This window comes from Homo sapiens, chromosome 13 (assembly GCF_000001405.40).
Source record: "Homo sapiens chromosome 13, GRCh38.p14 Primary Assembly".
Classification (NCBI taxonomy): domain Eukaryota; kingdom Metazoa; phylum Chordata; class Mammalia; order Primates; family Hominidae; genus Homo; species Homo sapiens.
In genome coordinates this window covers 45,192,236-45,207,574 of record NC_000013.11, presented here as the reverse complement: position 1 = coordinate 45,207,574, position 15,339 = coordinate 45,192,236, and the positions used below count along the sequence as shown (strand labels likewise).

At 37.8% G+C, this 15,339-nt stretch overlaps 2 protein-coding genes across 4 annotated transcripts in view; one reads left to right on the top strand and one right to left on the bottom strand.

Annotated features, from left to right (window-relative positions):
- GTF2F2 (general transcription factor IIF subunit 2) overlaps nucleotides 1-15,339 on the bottom strand; it is a 164,384-nt gene that overhangs the window by 77,319 nt on the left and 71,726 nt on the right. For 2 of the 3 annotated variants that reach the window (XM_011535052.4, NM_004128.3), the window contains one exon: nucleotides 70-151. In XM_011535052.4, the coding sequence (XP_011533354.1) occupies nucleotides 70-151 (82 nt within the window). Of the gene's footprint in view, nucleotides 1-69; nucleotides 152-12,059; nucleotides 12,219-15,339 lie in introns of those variants that run through there. The other variant, XM_017020551.2, reaches the window with a different exon arrangement.
- On the top strand, nucleotides 6,530-14,722 carry KCTD4 (potassium channel tetramerization domain containing 4). Its single transcript, NM_198404.3, has 2 exons — nucleotides 6,530-6,751; nucleotides 12,821-14,722. Exon 2 carries the CDS (start codon nucleotides 13,008-13,010, stop codon nucleotides 13,785-13,787), a length of 780 nt encoding a protein of 259 aa, NP_940686.2. The 5' UTR covers nucleotides 6,530-6,751; nucleotides 12,821-13,007; the 3' UTR covers nucleotides 13,788-14,722.

The window sequence follows — 15,339 nt, the reverse complement described above, 5'->3', positions numbered from 1 at the left end:
ATATAACACACGTATCTCAATCCCCAAAGGGAAATATCAGGTATCATTCTGGAGTTACAAAACACCAACCTTTTTAATCGCATGTAGTTTTCACTGGCAGCTGGTCGGCATTCAGCTCTTTGTACCACTATTCCTTCCAATGACAGCTTATCTTGAATGGAAAAAAAAAAGGATTCAGAGATAATACTTATCATTTTCAAGACTGTATTTTGACACACTAAACACAGTAATATGACAATCAAATATAATTAATATCAAAAATCAAGAAAAAATAGTTAAGTTTCAGGAATCTCACTGGTCAGAACAGAGAGAAGCCTTATTCTTGGCTTAGTAACAAACTGGGCTCCTGTCAGATTTGTTTATTAGGCTGCTGTGGCCCTTTGCCAGGAACAGCTTTTATACACTCTGCTCCTTCTAAATAAGGTAGCTTAAAAGGGCATAAAATCAAATTAAAGAGTATAAAGGCTATCGTCTTTGACAAAGAAGTAACTTCTGAAAACACAGCTAGTCTAAACCACTAAATCAAAGACCGTGTGTGTGTGTGTGTGTGTGTGTGTGTGTGTGTGTGTTTGTGTATGTGAATAAAATTCTCAAGTACCTTGTGACTAAAACAGCCAGCCCAGAAAATACTGTGACACTGGGCAGGTCTACTGTCTGGGTTATATTGTGTACCAGTTCAGCCTGCCAGCTGCTCTGACTTCTGTTTTCCTGCAGAATTCTAAATCTGGGCATGTCAAAACAGAATCTTTAACTGCTATGAATATTTGTCCAAACAGAAAGGCAATTTCCCCTATCCTTAGTAATTCTTATAGTGACTCTGACATAAAACCTAGGAGAATCAGAAAAAGGAAACAAAGGCTAGCATCTATTGTGTGCCTACTGGCCACCAAGCATTGTGGTGTGGTCACTTGACAGACCTTACCTTATTGTATAATACACATATAAATGTCTCATAATGGTACCAGCTTTATACCCTGGAAATGTATGACTGTGGTTAGAAACAGTCATATTTCCACAAGAATTCACCTGGGTTTTAAGAAAAGACTCAGGAAATTCCCTGGCTCATGAGTAGTGCATTTATGATTCATCTTTTCAGAGAGAATTACTTCATTCCACTAACATTAGCAAAATGTCTGCTATGCAAAAGGCCCCATCTAGGCATTGTGGAATCAAGATGATTAAGACACAGTACTGTTTTCAAGAAGCATACAGTTCACTGGGGGAGACAGATAAATTGATCAAAATGCAGAAAGTGTATAGAACCATGCCTACATATTTATACTAAAAAATCTTTTTTTAGTGATCTTTGGATGTCTCCAAAATCTAGGAGACTCTGTACGAACTAATTACAAGCACACCGTATATAATCAATGTATCCAGGGTCCCTTAATGCAACATATGCAACAAATCTCAAGAAGATGCAGAAAAAGCAATGATGAGAAGCATGACTACCTTATACCAAAATATGGCAGGAAGAAAATATTTTAAAAGCCGTTATTATTTTATAATAAAGTTTAAATTCTAAAAATAATTTCCTCTCATTAAAGTCTTTAATAAAATTAAAATTTGAATTTTCTTAAAGCAAAAAGCTTATATTCAAGTTTGGCTCTTGCTGAAGCTGAAAGTTCTATCAAGAAAAATTCTTTAGTCGTCACAACAATAGCAAGATTTGGGAAAATCTGATATATCAAATGTCTTAAATGCATAAGGAAAGTCCAATAAAGGAAGACAATTAATCCTTTAAAAAAATAAATCTAGGTCGGCCACGGTGGCTCACAGCTATAATCCCAGCACTTTGGGAGGCCGAGGCAGGCAGATCATGAGGTCAGGAGATCGAGACCATGCTGGCCAACATGGTGAAACCCTGTCTCTACTAAAATATAAAAAATTAGCCAGGCATGGTGGCACACACCTGTGGTCCCAGCTACTCAGGAGGCTGAGGCAAGGGAATCGCTTGAACCCAGGAGGCAAAGGTTGCAGTGAGCCAAGATAGTGCCACTGCACTCCAGCCTGGCAACAGAGCAAGACTCCGTCTCAAAAAACTAAATAAATAAAATAAATCTAGACTACTATCCCTGCAAATAATTTAGTCACATATCCACGTTTATTAATGTTGCAACTAAAAGAGCTACTGATATGGTCTGGCTCTGTGTCCCCAGCCAAATCTCATCTCAAATTATAATCCCCACGTGTCAAGGGAGGGAAGTGACTGGATCATGGGGCAGTTCCCCCTATGCTGTTCTCGTGATAATGAGTGAGTTCTCACTGGCAGCTTTTTCCTGTGCTCTCACTTCTCCCTCCTGCCACCTTGGTGCCTGCTTCCCCTTTGCTTTCCACCATGAATGTAAGTTTCCTGAGGTCTCCTCAGGTATGCGGAACCGTGAGTCAATTAAACCTGTTTCCTTTATAAACTACCCAGTCTCAGGCATTTCTTTATAGCAGTGTGAAAATGGACTAATATAGCTACCTTTTACTAAGTGAATGCTCCCCACTTATTTAGCAGTACCTACTCCAGGTGGACAGGCTGAATTTAACTTTCAGTTAAAGGTTTGTGCTATCAACCTTCTCCATATGACAGCTCAAGGGTAGAAATCAGGTCCACAGCAACTGCCCATTACAACTTGGCCACCAATCTCCTCACTATTCTTCAGTCAAGGTCACTCACACAGAGCAATAACATTTACTTTCTCAAACCATAATTTTCTATCATATCTTCTTTTCAAACCTAAAATAGCTTCCAAATGCTACTCAAAGTGAATGGAAAAGTCTTCATCAGCAACGAATTTTCCCATCCACTGGATGTTCCTAAGTAACCTGACATCTCTGTTCACTTCCTTTCTCCCCTTCTCTTCTTAAATACATTTTTAAAAGGCCAATTTACTCCTGATGCAGCCCCCTAGGCATGATTTGCCTGCTCTCTTTTTAAAGCCTCATAGGAACACATTCTCATATTCTTTCCACTAAACCACACTTCTTGTCTTTTTCAAAATACTGCTTAAGATTTCAAAGGAAAGGTATTAAATTTTATTTTAAAAGTATTTAAAAGCACCCACTTGCACATTACTGCTGTTAATTATAGATCCTATTCATTAATATAGAAACCTTTACTTAAAGCTAGTTTGTTGACCCAGTTTAAAAGACCATAAATACTTGAAAAATAATTCATTTTATTCTCACACATTTCTTAACTATTTACTGAGTGCCTACTATGTAAAAGACAATGCAAGAGCACATCAGGAATAACAAATGAAACACGGCTCCTACCCTCAAGGAGCGTAGACTTTCTTAAACGTTCTGTGGCATGTATTAGTTAAAAAGTATAGATATGAATAGCTTGATTTAGCCATTCCACACATATACATATATCAAAACATCACGTTATATACCATAAATATACACAAATTTTACTTGTCAATTAAAAATAAGCTTAAAAAACCTAAATTTAAATGTTTTTAAAAGGAAAAATGTATAGACTCCCAAAAAACCTGTTTATAAGTTTTAACTGCTGATATCTACCATATTAGAAACTAAAATTAAGAAATTTCTAGAGAATGAGAGTGAAAAAATAAAAAAAAGCCATTAGCATTATTATAGAAATGGTCTTGACATCATTGATCCCTTGAAAGGATCTCGGGGACCCCTCTGCCCAGTGGTTCCCAGACCACATTTCGAGAGCTGCTGGTCTCGTAGGATAAGACAGGTACATAAATCATCTTAATACACCAGAAGCACTTTTGATACACCTCTACTTAACTCACCTCTAGATTAACAAAGGCTCTCAACTGCCTGCTATTAAATATAGCGACAGATGCCCACAGTCACTATATACTAGTGGGTAATAGGTTAATCTCTAGTACTCCCACACACGTCTGCTCAAACGATGCTAGAACTTGTCTATATTAGTTTTAATAATTATGTAATCTGATTATATATTACAGAAGCCCATTAAATTGCAAGTATGAGGGGAGTTTGGGGGGTGTTTCTATAAAAACTATGTAGAATGCTTTGGTAAGATGATATAAAGTTAAGTTGTAACACAATACTGTCAAATTAGGTACAGGTGAGACAACTGGAGACTGAAAGGGAAGCACAGGAGTCTAGAAAGAGTCTGCATTTAGATAGTTTCACAGTGTCTAAGTTCTTGCTCCTTTTCAAAGAAACCAAAATCGAAAATCTAAACTAAATCATGGGGCCAGGTGCAGTGGCTCACGCCTGTAATCCCAGAACTTTGGGAAGCCGAGGAGGGCAGATCACTTGAGGCCAGGAGTTTGAGACTAGCCCAGGCAACACAAGGAAACCGTCTCTCTACTAAAAATCCAAAAAAAAAAAAAAAAGGTGGGCGTGGTGGTGCATGCCTGTAGTCCTAGCTATTTGGGAGGCTAAGGCATGAGAATTGTTTGAACTCTGTAGGTAGAGGTTGCAATGAGCTGAGATCACATCACTGCACTCCAGCCTGGGCGACAGAATGAGACTGAAAAACTAAATGATGGGTTTAATTTTTGAAAAACAAAGAAAACAGATGGTCAGTCAGTATCCTATATTCAAAGCAAAGGCCTTGTCTTACATATACATCAGCAACTAAATGTACATTTATTTTATTTTATTTTATTTCTGAGATGATGTCTCACTCTGTCACCCAGGCTGGAGTAGCTGGAGTACAGTGGTGCAATCTCAACTCACTGAAACCTCCGCCTCCCAGGTTCAAGCAATTCTCATGCCTCAGCCACCTGAGGTGCTGGGATTACAGGCGTGCGCCACCATGCCCAGCTAATTTTTGTATTTTTAGTACAGCCAGGGTTTCACCATGGTAACCAGGCAGGTCTTGAACCCCTGACCTCACGTGATCTGCCCACCTCGGCCTCCCAAAGTGCTGGGATTACAGGCGTGAGCCACCGTGCCCAGCCAACTAAACGTACATTTATAAGTTTTAAGATAAAATGTTTAAGGCAGATAGGAACTGCATATTGATATCATTTTTATGATTTCCCATCTTTTAATGTAACTGACCAATTACTGGTTATTCCATATGTGCTGTAGGATTCTTCTGTCAAGTTGAATATGTTAAAGGTCATAAAATAGAAACATACAAGAGTACTGGGATTAAACACACATGTACTTGCACACACACACACACCCACTCAGATGTCTAGCTAGAGATCAAGAAGAGTTTTTTGTTTTGTTTTGTTTTGAGATGGAGTCTCGCTCTGTTGCCTAGACTGGAGTGCAGTGGCGCGATCTTGGCTCACCGCAACCTCCGCCTCCTGGGTTCAAGCGATTCTCCTGCCTCTGCCTCCTGGGTAGCTGGGATTACAGGTATGTGCCACTGCGCCAGGCTAATTTTTGTATTTTTAGTGGAGATGGGGTTTTGCCATGTTGGCCAGGCTGGTCTTGAACTCCTGACCTCTGGTGATCCGCCCACCTCAGCCTCCCAAAGTGCTAGGATTACAGGTGTGAGCCACCACGCCAGGCCAAGAAGAGTTTTGAAGAATAAGCAATGATTGTGCTGGACCTTGAAAAATGGGTAGGATTTAGACTGGGGTGGGTGGGGGTAAGAAGGAAGAGTACTGAAGGTGGTAGGAATGGCCTCTGTGTGTCTGTGCTTGCTCGCTCTTGTGCTTGAAATGTTCAACTAAGGGGCTCACACCACCAATTACTAGAAGGACATGGTCTTGCCAGCACTCTGCAGAGAAGCCACACAAACTCATCCTACCAAAGGCTTTGGAATGGCTCAATTCATATCTTTTCCTTGGCCATTTGCTCTTCTTTGGATTCTGGGAAATAGTATGGGATTCTTTCTAAATTCTCCCCCGCACTCCTTTTTTGGCTAGATTGGTTTGTTGACTGGTTTCTGCTACTTGCAACCAAAAGAATCTTATTGAGTATGAACACACATCTTTGATGATGGTAATTTATGTATATCCCACCACCTAAAATCAGAAAAAACTCGAGAGAAAATTTTAAAGGTTATGTATATAAAGCACATCCTATAAAAAGAACTGAAGGCTTCTAGTTAAGATTCTGTCACTAAACAGCAGTGTTACTTTGGAGAAGTTATTTTACATCTCTGGGCCTCAGCATCCATAATAATGATATTACTAGAATGTCTGAGATCTCTTCTAGGTCTCTTTCACTAAATAAAAATGCTAGCCTTCCTCTCCAACTGGGGATGTTTTATTATTTCATTAGTGTTATTTTGTTTGCTCTAGTACTTTCCAAAAGACCTAGATATAATTAAATTTTCTTTGAATAGAAAGAGAATAACAAAATGTTAAGAAGCTGCCCAAGGCTTGAAAATATTTAAATTTGTGCTCTATGCTGGATTATCCTGCCCTATATCTGAACTTGACATACACTCTATGTCAAAGAACTGAGGAGAAATGATACTGGCACTTTTTTTAAAAAGTTAAGGGCATCCCTAGTTTGAAGAAGTTAAAGGAATAAGCAAGCAGCAACACTGCTTATTAGCATTGGCATGTAAGTAATGAAATCAAGTATGTTAGGAAGTCTTAGGCATCAGGAAGTTACACTCATTCATTTCCACAAGACCTTCTGGATCCAGCTGAATGTGGAGGCCTTTAAGAGAACTTCCAGCTCCTGTAAAAACCCAGACCAGAGGACTACTGACCAACATTTCAGGCTGATCCTCCAGACCTCGAAGTTACTCTCCTTACTCTCCTGACTCTTAATTACATCACACCTGTGTCGACACTCTCTGGGAAAAGACTGAAGAAATAATCTTTTCAAGAAGCAGGTACATTTAAAAGGCAAACCATTTTTAATATTCCTAGTAGTCTCCTTTCTTCTCATTTAAAATATGTTCCTAGAAGTTTTTTTGCCTGTGGTTCTGAGTTGAGGTCTACTAATAAAAGGTACTAGCATCTTAACAAACCAGTTAGGCAAACTTTCTATCCCTGTATTATTAAAAAGCTGCTCTTTACTTGTGAAGTAATATTCTGATCTCTATTTGATCTTCAGGAATTTTGCCACGCATGGTGGCTCACATCTGTAATCCCAACACTTTGGGAGGCTGAGGCAGCAGCATAGCTTGAGCCCAGCCTGGGCAACAAAGTGAGACCCAGTCTCCACAAAAAGATAAAAAAGTTAGCCAGGTATGGTGGGGTATGCCTGTGGCCCCAACTATACGGGAGTTTCCTAAGGCAGGAAGATCACCTGAGCCCAGGAGGTTGAGGTTGCAATACACTCCAGCCTGGGTGACAGAGCAAGACCCTGTATCAAAAAATAAAATTTAATTTTATAAAAGTTATAAAATAATTTGCCTAATTTTAACATCAAGCAGCCACATTGTTTTGTCTCTCCCTCTCTCTCTCATCTCCCTGCAAAATTCTTTCCCTCCTCCCTGTCTGTTAATTTTACTTTCTTGTGATACGGAGGGAATAGCTCACAGAGCTGCTCAAATATTTCATCAACTATAAGATGCTATCATTTGTAATAGCAACCATTATTTTACGTGCCACCAAGACAAAATACTGCTGCTAAACTTTGACAAGCTAACGATATTAAGATGTACCTCAGTTATAGAAATGGTAAATATGAAAAAAATGTGTGATATGATAGAGTTCTCCATCCCTAGTTTATAACTCCTCCCTACTCTGTAAGAAACCACATTTGCTCCCTTGAGCCATCACATCCTGTTCTCCTGTTCAGATCCTCTTCTCTCTTCTCCACACCACCTCATCACTGAAGACACAAGCAGATGTTAAGTGATGAGAAAATCAGAAGGAACAGTGGCAGGCGCTAGTATACGGTAACAGAGACCCTCTTTAGTCATTTACTTCCTAACTGTACTACCTTTACAAGAGTTTTCAAAGTTATGCCCTTCATTTTGAGATTGTAGATAATGGTTATTAGCTTAAAATATCTTCTTCCCAAAGAGAAAGTAAAATTGCATTTTGCCAAATAGCACTATAAAAATGAGTTCTGTACAATATTATAATTTTAATGTTCATTTGATGGCTTACATAAGTGCTATGCTCATCTGGTTACAATAGAATTTTCCAGTAAATAATAACGCACAGGTTATATTTCAAAAAAAAACTTCATTTTTAAAAAACTTAAGGTATGACTTCTGCTTACAAAATTATAAAACACAGGTTTCCCTGAAATACTCATTTTCCAAAGTACATGTAAAACATGAATTAATATGACTTATAAATTGTCAAGATTGCCTCTGTAGTGAAAATCAAAGAAATGTGGAATGGAATTTCACCTGAACTTCTGAGCTAGTCTGTTGTCTTTATTTGTGCTCCTTTTGACACATAGTGCCTTATGTTTTTCTATACTCCTCAAATGAAGCTAAAACATTTACCAATGTAGGCAATTTTCCTGGGCTTCCTTGAAGACGCAGTTCAACACTGCAAAATATTTACAGCTGTATTCTTTGGACTGCAATGACATGTTCACACGACCTTGTGGCCAGAGGTTACGTCCTATTAGTCCTAGGAAGGTTCAAGTACTTGGCACAGTTTGTGAGATGCTGTGGTCAATCAGTTACATAAAGTGGCTGCCATAGTACTTTTGTTAGTGTAATACCAGTAGCAGACAACATTTAGAGCAGATAAATTTTATATTTCAAAATAGAACTAAAATTTGGACACTCAAAAAGAATTACATTAACATGGGAAAATCCTTGATTCTTAAAACATGTCAATAATTAGACAGTGTAATTTTTATTTTTAACACACAAAAGAAGCCAACACAAAATATTCATACCTCAATATCAAAATGAATGTTTCTTACATTCAGTGCTATTGACAAGAGGCAATGAAGCAAGTACATGTTAAAAAAAAAGAAACTCAGCTTGTGAAAGGCAGAGGAAGGTCAAAACACAGATCAATAAACAAAAAAACAAAAAAAAAATGTGGGCAAGTCCAAGGCAGAGATATACTGTCAGATTTAAGTAAAAAGTTGACAGCAGCTTCTCTAGCTTTTACTTTCTTTCTAAGGTAATGGGAATGAAATCCTTTTAAAAGACAAGCAGAGAAGCATGCAGCTGACAACAACCAAGATTTGATAGCAGGGGAGAATGTGGAGACAGAAGCTCCCTGTTCTTATCAAACGCAGCTTCTAAAACCATTCCTTTTCCTTGAAGAGTGTCTGAATTTTATAGAGGAATGATCTGTTAAGTCTAGGAGAATTATCATACTTTTTGTATCTTCCAGTCGGGAGGGATAACCTCCTGGTAAGGTTTCACTTCCTTCCATGGCATGGGAGTATCTCTGGCATATAAATGGAGCAAGTGTATATATTACAATGATGTCCTGCATCAATCACGGGATGACAAAGACCTCATTTCCCATAAGGAGTTGGTAAAAAGATGGGAATTCCTGCTGGAATGAGTTCTGCCTTATGCAGATGGTAGGACATTAGTATTACCTCATAGTGGAAGGTTCTGCCAGAGTTTAGTTAGGCATTGGACCCAATTAACTATAGGATATACTCATACTAAGGACCAGTTTAAATTCTCAAAGTTGGTTATATATGATTAAAGCTGTCTAAGACAGAGGTGATCTAACTCTAATAAAGAGTTAAGGTACTGAGTAGGAAACAGGACCCCAATCTTTCAAATTTTTATATGTTTTTGCCTGCAAAGGCAGATAAAATCTTCAAATCTAGTGGCCAAGTGGATCCAGGTAAGCTAATCTTTGACATGTGTGGTTTAAACCCTTCTGCTGAAACCATTAAATTGAGCAGTTCCGGTTTGTATCTGCAAGGCAGAGAAACATAGTCCCATGATCCAGGGATGTCTCCCTTGGTATAGGTACTGAAGCACCATTTTTATAGTTTTAGGGCTGTGGAGACCTTACAGATATTACCTTGGACAAGCAACACCCACTCGCCACCCCCTAGCAAGTAAATATAAATTTAGAATAGACTAAAACGAGATAATCTGGCTTTCTCCTAAGGGGCATGTGTACCACCACAGGCAGCAATGATCAATGAACTCCTATAATTTCCATGAACTACAGTCATCTTGCTTTGCTGGAGGTAATATGGAGTATTAGGCATACAGCGGGGCCTACTGGGTGCCTTTTTTTTTTTTTTTTTGGAGACAGGGTCTTACTGTGTTGCCCAGACTGGAGTGCAGTGGCGCTATCTCCACTCACTGCAACCTCCACCTCCCGGGCTCAGGCGATTCTCCTGCCTCAGCCTCCCAAGTAACTGGGACTACAGACATACACCAACACACCCCAGCTAATTTTTTTTTTTTTTTTTAATTTTTGGTAGACAAAGGATTTCCCTATACTGGCCAGGCTGGTCTCAAACTCCTGGCCTCAAGTGACCTGCCCGCCTCAGCCTCCCAAAGTGCTGGGATTACAGGCATAAGCCAACATGCCCGGCCTACATTTTTCTTCTTTAAGTCTGCAAGTTGGGCCAAAGAGGACACAAAAGTCCTATGGATTTGTATAAGCCAGGCACTAAGACAAAGCTTCAGTTATACTACTGTTGCCAGGCCATGGGTGGCAAAGAAATCACACATGTCAACTTTGCAGAAGAACACCAGAGTGAAGTCTAGAGTGAGAAAAAACAATCAAGGAGAAGAGGCACAAGATGGAATGGTTCAGAGTCTGTTCAGGCAAGCCTGCAGAAACGAGCACTCATCAGTGGTTTTGAAAACCTGGCAGGAGAAACCAAAAGTGAGTGAGCTAGGAAGTGTAAGGTGGCCCTGGGGTGATGACTGAAGGTCAGCAGTCCCACTTCCAGCTGTCCTGACTCACTCCTGCCTTCTCATCACCTCATGGAAGCCTATCCTCCAACAGCAACAGCATTGGGGCTTCCCATGAAGACATCTATAGACAGGCCAAACAGGGTGTAAGGAAGCAGACCCAGAGTACATAGTATCTATCCACATCACTTTATTTAAACAAGAACATGCTAGCACAGTCTCCATCACTATACTACAGTTATGTTGTACTAATTCTGGTATCCTATAAAGTTCAAAAAAAGAGGACTATACCTATAAATGAAATTGTTATGCCTTTTTGATTTTGCTATTATATGATGCTACTCATGTGCAGTGACTATTTGTAATGGTAACACAAGAATTCCATGAATGTACTTCCAGAGTTGTATCCCTTCTCCCTCAAAATCTATTCAGTATTTCTTAAAAAGTTGTATTGACAGAAAAGACTTAATCTAAAAAAGCAAAATCAAGACAAACATGAGATTGTCAGAATATAAGAGTAAGTCTTATTAAGTGCTGCAGGAGTAAAGGACGTTTTAGTCAAAATGTTGGCTTTGCTGTGAAGTCCTAGATAAAATACTAAAAATTCTCTGGAATGCAATGTTATCTTTGGTGAAATGAGGAAGTTGAATTTCACAGTCTCTAAGCAAAAACACAGCTCTAAAAACATTATGCCTTAGTTTTCTAGTTCGATTTCAACGAACTTTTGATCTCAATAATACATAAATGTTAACTTCAAGATCACTATAAGAATATAATTTTTTATACCTGAAAATCTAATATTGTTTAAAGAAAATAAGAAGTATGCATTTTAGAAGAATCTCTTCCAATATTCCTATGTCAACATACAGTTAAATAATTTTAAAATACTTTTAATGCAAGAGAAATATAAACTAAAGTCTAACTTTTAACAGTGTGGCCCAGCGCAGTAGCTCATGCCTGTAATCCCAGCACTCTGGGAGGCTGAGGTGGGCAGATCACCTGAATCCAGGAGTTTGAGACCCGTCTGGGCAACATGGCAAAAACTTGTCTCTACAAAAATAAATTAAAAACTAAAACTACAACAAAAAACAATGTAGTTTCCCAGAATAATTTAGCAGATAGGCCAAATAATAGTGTACTGGGGACAATGTTTACATTTCTTACCACTGAGCCTTTAAATGCTAGAAGTGAAACCTCAGAACCCTAAATTGCTTTGGAAGGGAAGTTATAGGGGAAAGAGGAAAAAGATGTGAGAAGTGGAGGGTGACATCATTCACACTGTTCCAGCTCCCAAGTTGAAAAACAAGGTTAGGCTTTGGTGATTTATTTTGCCCACTGTGAAACAAACAAACAAACAAACAAGAAACTAACTTACCCATGACACTATTTTGTAGTAGGTATTCTGAATCTAGATCTTTCTCCTATCTTCCTACGGTATATACATGCATGCACATACACAGTCACAGTATTTTCTATAATTGTCCAAGTCTTTGTTCAGCACAGAAGCAGGCTCCGAGTGAAACAAGTTCATGAATTTTCCACAGAAAATCTTAAGCAAAAAAATTAAGTGATTACTGTAAAGCCTATTTGATTTTTTTTTTACTTTTAGGGTAAATAAAATAATAAAAAATAAAAAATAAAAAAAATTCTTAACATCCTTTAACATAGATCTCCAAATCAGAATCATATGCAAATCCAATTAAATTCAAGTGCAGTGTCACAAGTAGCAGGTTAAGTATTCTTATTTGTGTCTCAAAAATGACTACAATACTTTGAAATGTGTGACTTTTTCCGGGAAAGAAAATTGTATACACCTAGAATTTTCACCTTATGTTTCCTACTTAAATTTACTTTAAAAAGATGACACTAAATCAATATACATTATTTTCCAAAAGATGACAATATTATTCAACATTAAGCCTGCCTGATTAAAAAATAACTTAGGCATTTAGAAATAGTTAAACATTCACATTTGGATGAAGAATTAAACATTTGGATCTGCTTAACTGACAAGAGGAAATTCAATTTATTCTGAGTAACTCTTATTACTTCAAAGGATAGACATGAAAATCCTTTCACAACAAATCCCTTCCCTGATACAGTTAAATGCAAATTCTCTTTTCCGTCTTACTCCAGAAAGCTCCTGCATACATAGGCTGATACGCCACCTACTGCAAAACCGAGCTGACAGCGCAGGCGATGCTGCCAGCGTTTCCATTCCATCACCAGGCTGGGGCTGAATAAAGGCGTGCTTGTGTGGTAGTGTCTCTTTTTAAAAAATCTCAAAGCCAAGAAGAACAAGCTGAAATAGCATCTTCAAAAAATGGAGCGTAAAATAAACAGAAGAGAAAAAGAAAAGGAGTATGAAGGGAAACACAACAGCCTGGAAGATACTGATCAAGGAAAGAACTGCAAATCCACACTGATGACCCTCAACGTTGGTGGATATTTATACATTACTCAAAAACAAACACTGACCAAGTACCCAGACACTTTCCTTGAAGGTATAGTAAATGGAAAAATCCTCTGCCCGTTTGATGCTGATGGTCATTATTTCATAGACAGGGATGGTCTCCTCTTCAGGCATGTCCTAAACTTCCTACGAAATGGAGAACTTCTATTGCCCGAAGGGTTTCGAGAAAATCAACTTCTTGCACAAGAAGCAGAATTCTTTCAGCTCAAGGGACTGGCAGAGGAAGTGAAATCCAGGTGGGAGAAAGAACAGCTAACACCCAGAGAGACTACTTTCTTGGAAATAACAGATAACCACGATCGTTCACAAGGATTAAGAATCTTCTGTAATGCTCCTGATTTCATATCAAAAATAAAGTCTCGCATTGTTCTGGTGTCCAAAAGCAGGCTGGATGGATTTCCAGAGGAGTTTTCAATATCGTCAAATATCATCCAATTTAAATACTTCATAAAGTCTGAAAATGGCACTCGACTTGTACTAAAGGAAGACAACACCTTTGTCTGTACCTTGGAAACTCTTAAGTTTGAGGCTATCATGATGGCTTTAAAGTGTGGCTTTAGACTGCTGACCAGCCTGGATTGTTCCAAAGGGTCAATTGTTCACAGCGATGCACTTCATTTTATCAAGTAATTACCTGTGTCACGAACAAAGGCAACAAGCATGCAGCCAGCAAGCTTCGGAAAACCACAGCATCAAAGACATCCCAAATAACATGCCCAGCTAGCTCTGTACTACAGAGCCCTGCTACTAATCAATTACTGTGAGCTAACGGTATGTAAATTCTATCGCTAAAGATGTCCTTCCTCTGGGGTGTTCCTACTGATCAGACTCTTCCACCTAAAATGAAAACAGTAACCTTCTATATACTGTAAATAAAGACTGAAAGCTTTTGCTATTTATTTGTCCTTAAGCTGTCTTTCAATTCAGATTGTCTTGGGTATTTGCACAAAAAAGAAAGCATGTACATTATCTATCGTTCATTTAAGTAAATGGTAATAAAATATTTTAAGGGGCTATTAATATTTAAAATCCTTTTCTACTATGGCAAAAATCTACAGAGAAACTGAACTGGCAAAATTAACTACCTGGAGCAAAACAGATGTGCAGATCTAACTAAAACAGAGCTATAGTGAAACAAAATGAGATTGTAAGAAGACATTAAAGCTATTGATTTGATTTTTCCATAGCAAGCACCAAAAGCTTATATTCACAGTTCCTGTGTTTCATATTAGACTTATAGCTGAATTGGTATTTTGCTGAAAATTCCTAGAAAACTGCTTGATGACAATAAAAAGTAAATAAAAGCACTGCTACCTTCTTTGATTGTATTAATGATTATAATAAAAAGTTACAGGTCACTTTAAAAGCAAACAGTACCACTTGATGATTTTGCATAAAATTATGCATTGATGTCAACCGGCAGGCTACAGGAACCCTGGCTGGTCCTGGAAGTGACAAAAACCAGCAAATTCAATTCTTTGCAGGCTGAGTTCCCACAAAGCATGGGTAACTTAGTCTCAATAGAGTATCTGTTATTAGAATAATAAAGGAGTTCATTTTCAGAATCATCCTAAGTATCTGTTCATTTTTCAAGCTCAAAAATATTAAATGAACATCACTAAACATTATTCTTATGAAAGAACTTTGATTGTTTTCAATACCTTTTTGGATGCTAAATCTCAGACTCAGTGAGTTAACATTACTTCATGCCAAACAAAAAATTATTTTTAAAAATTACGTTTTATGTATGGCCGTTTCAATGAAGTAGTCTACAAACTTAACTTTAAATGAGTGTATTTTCCCCCTGCAAAGGACAGCTAAATCATTTCACTTGTTCTTTAACTTCTAAGAACAAAATATATTTAAATTTGCTCTTTTAAAATTAAACGATTAAATCTGGTAACTAAATCTTAATTTTAATAATCTCAAGAAGATGTCTGAAAATCTTGACTGAGGTTACATAAATTAGCATATATGCCAAAAGTTTGATGACTCATAAAAACTTAGAATAAGTAAAGCTAATGTTCATTTCCAGAACTATAACTGACTTCTAGTTATAACATCTAATGTAATGTAAAAGTTGGCTGTATATGCTAAAAGAAACCTTTTAAAATCTGTTCTACAAAAAAATTCCTTCAAAAATCACATTTAAAAACCAAATTCCACATTAGCTACATAATAT

What these genes read in the sequence shown, in the direction of transcription:
- KCTD4 (NM_198404.3), top strand. Translation starts at nt 13,008, where the DNA reads ATGGAGCGTAAAATAAACAGAAGAGAAAAAGAAAAGGAGTATGAAGGG.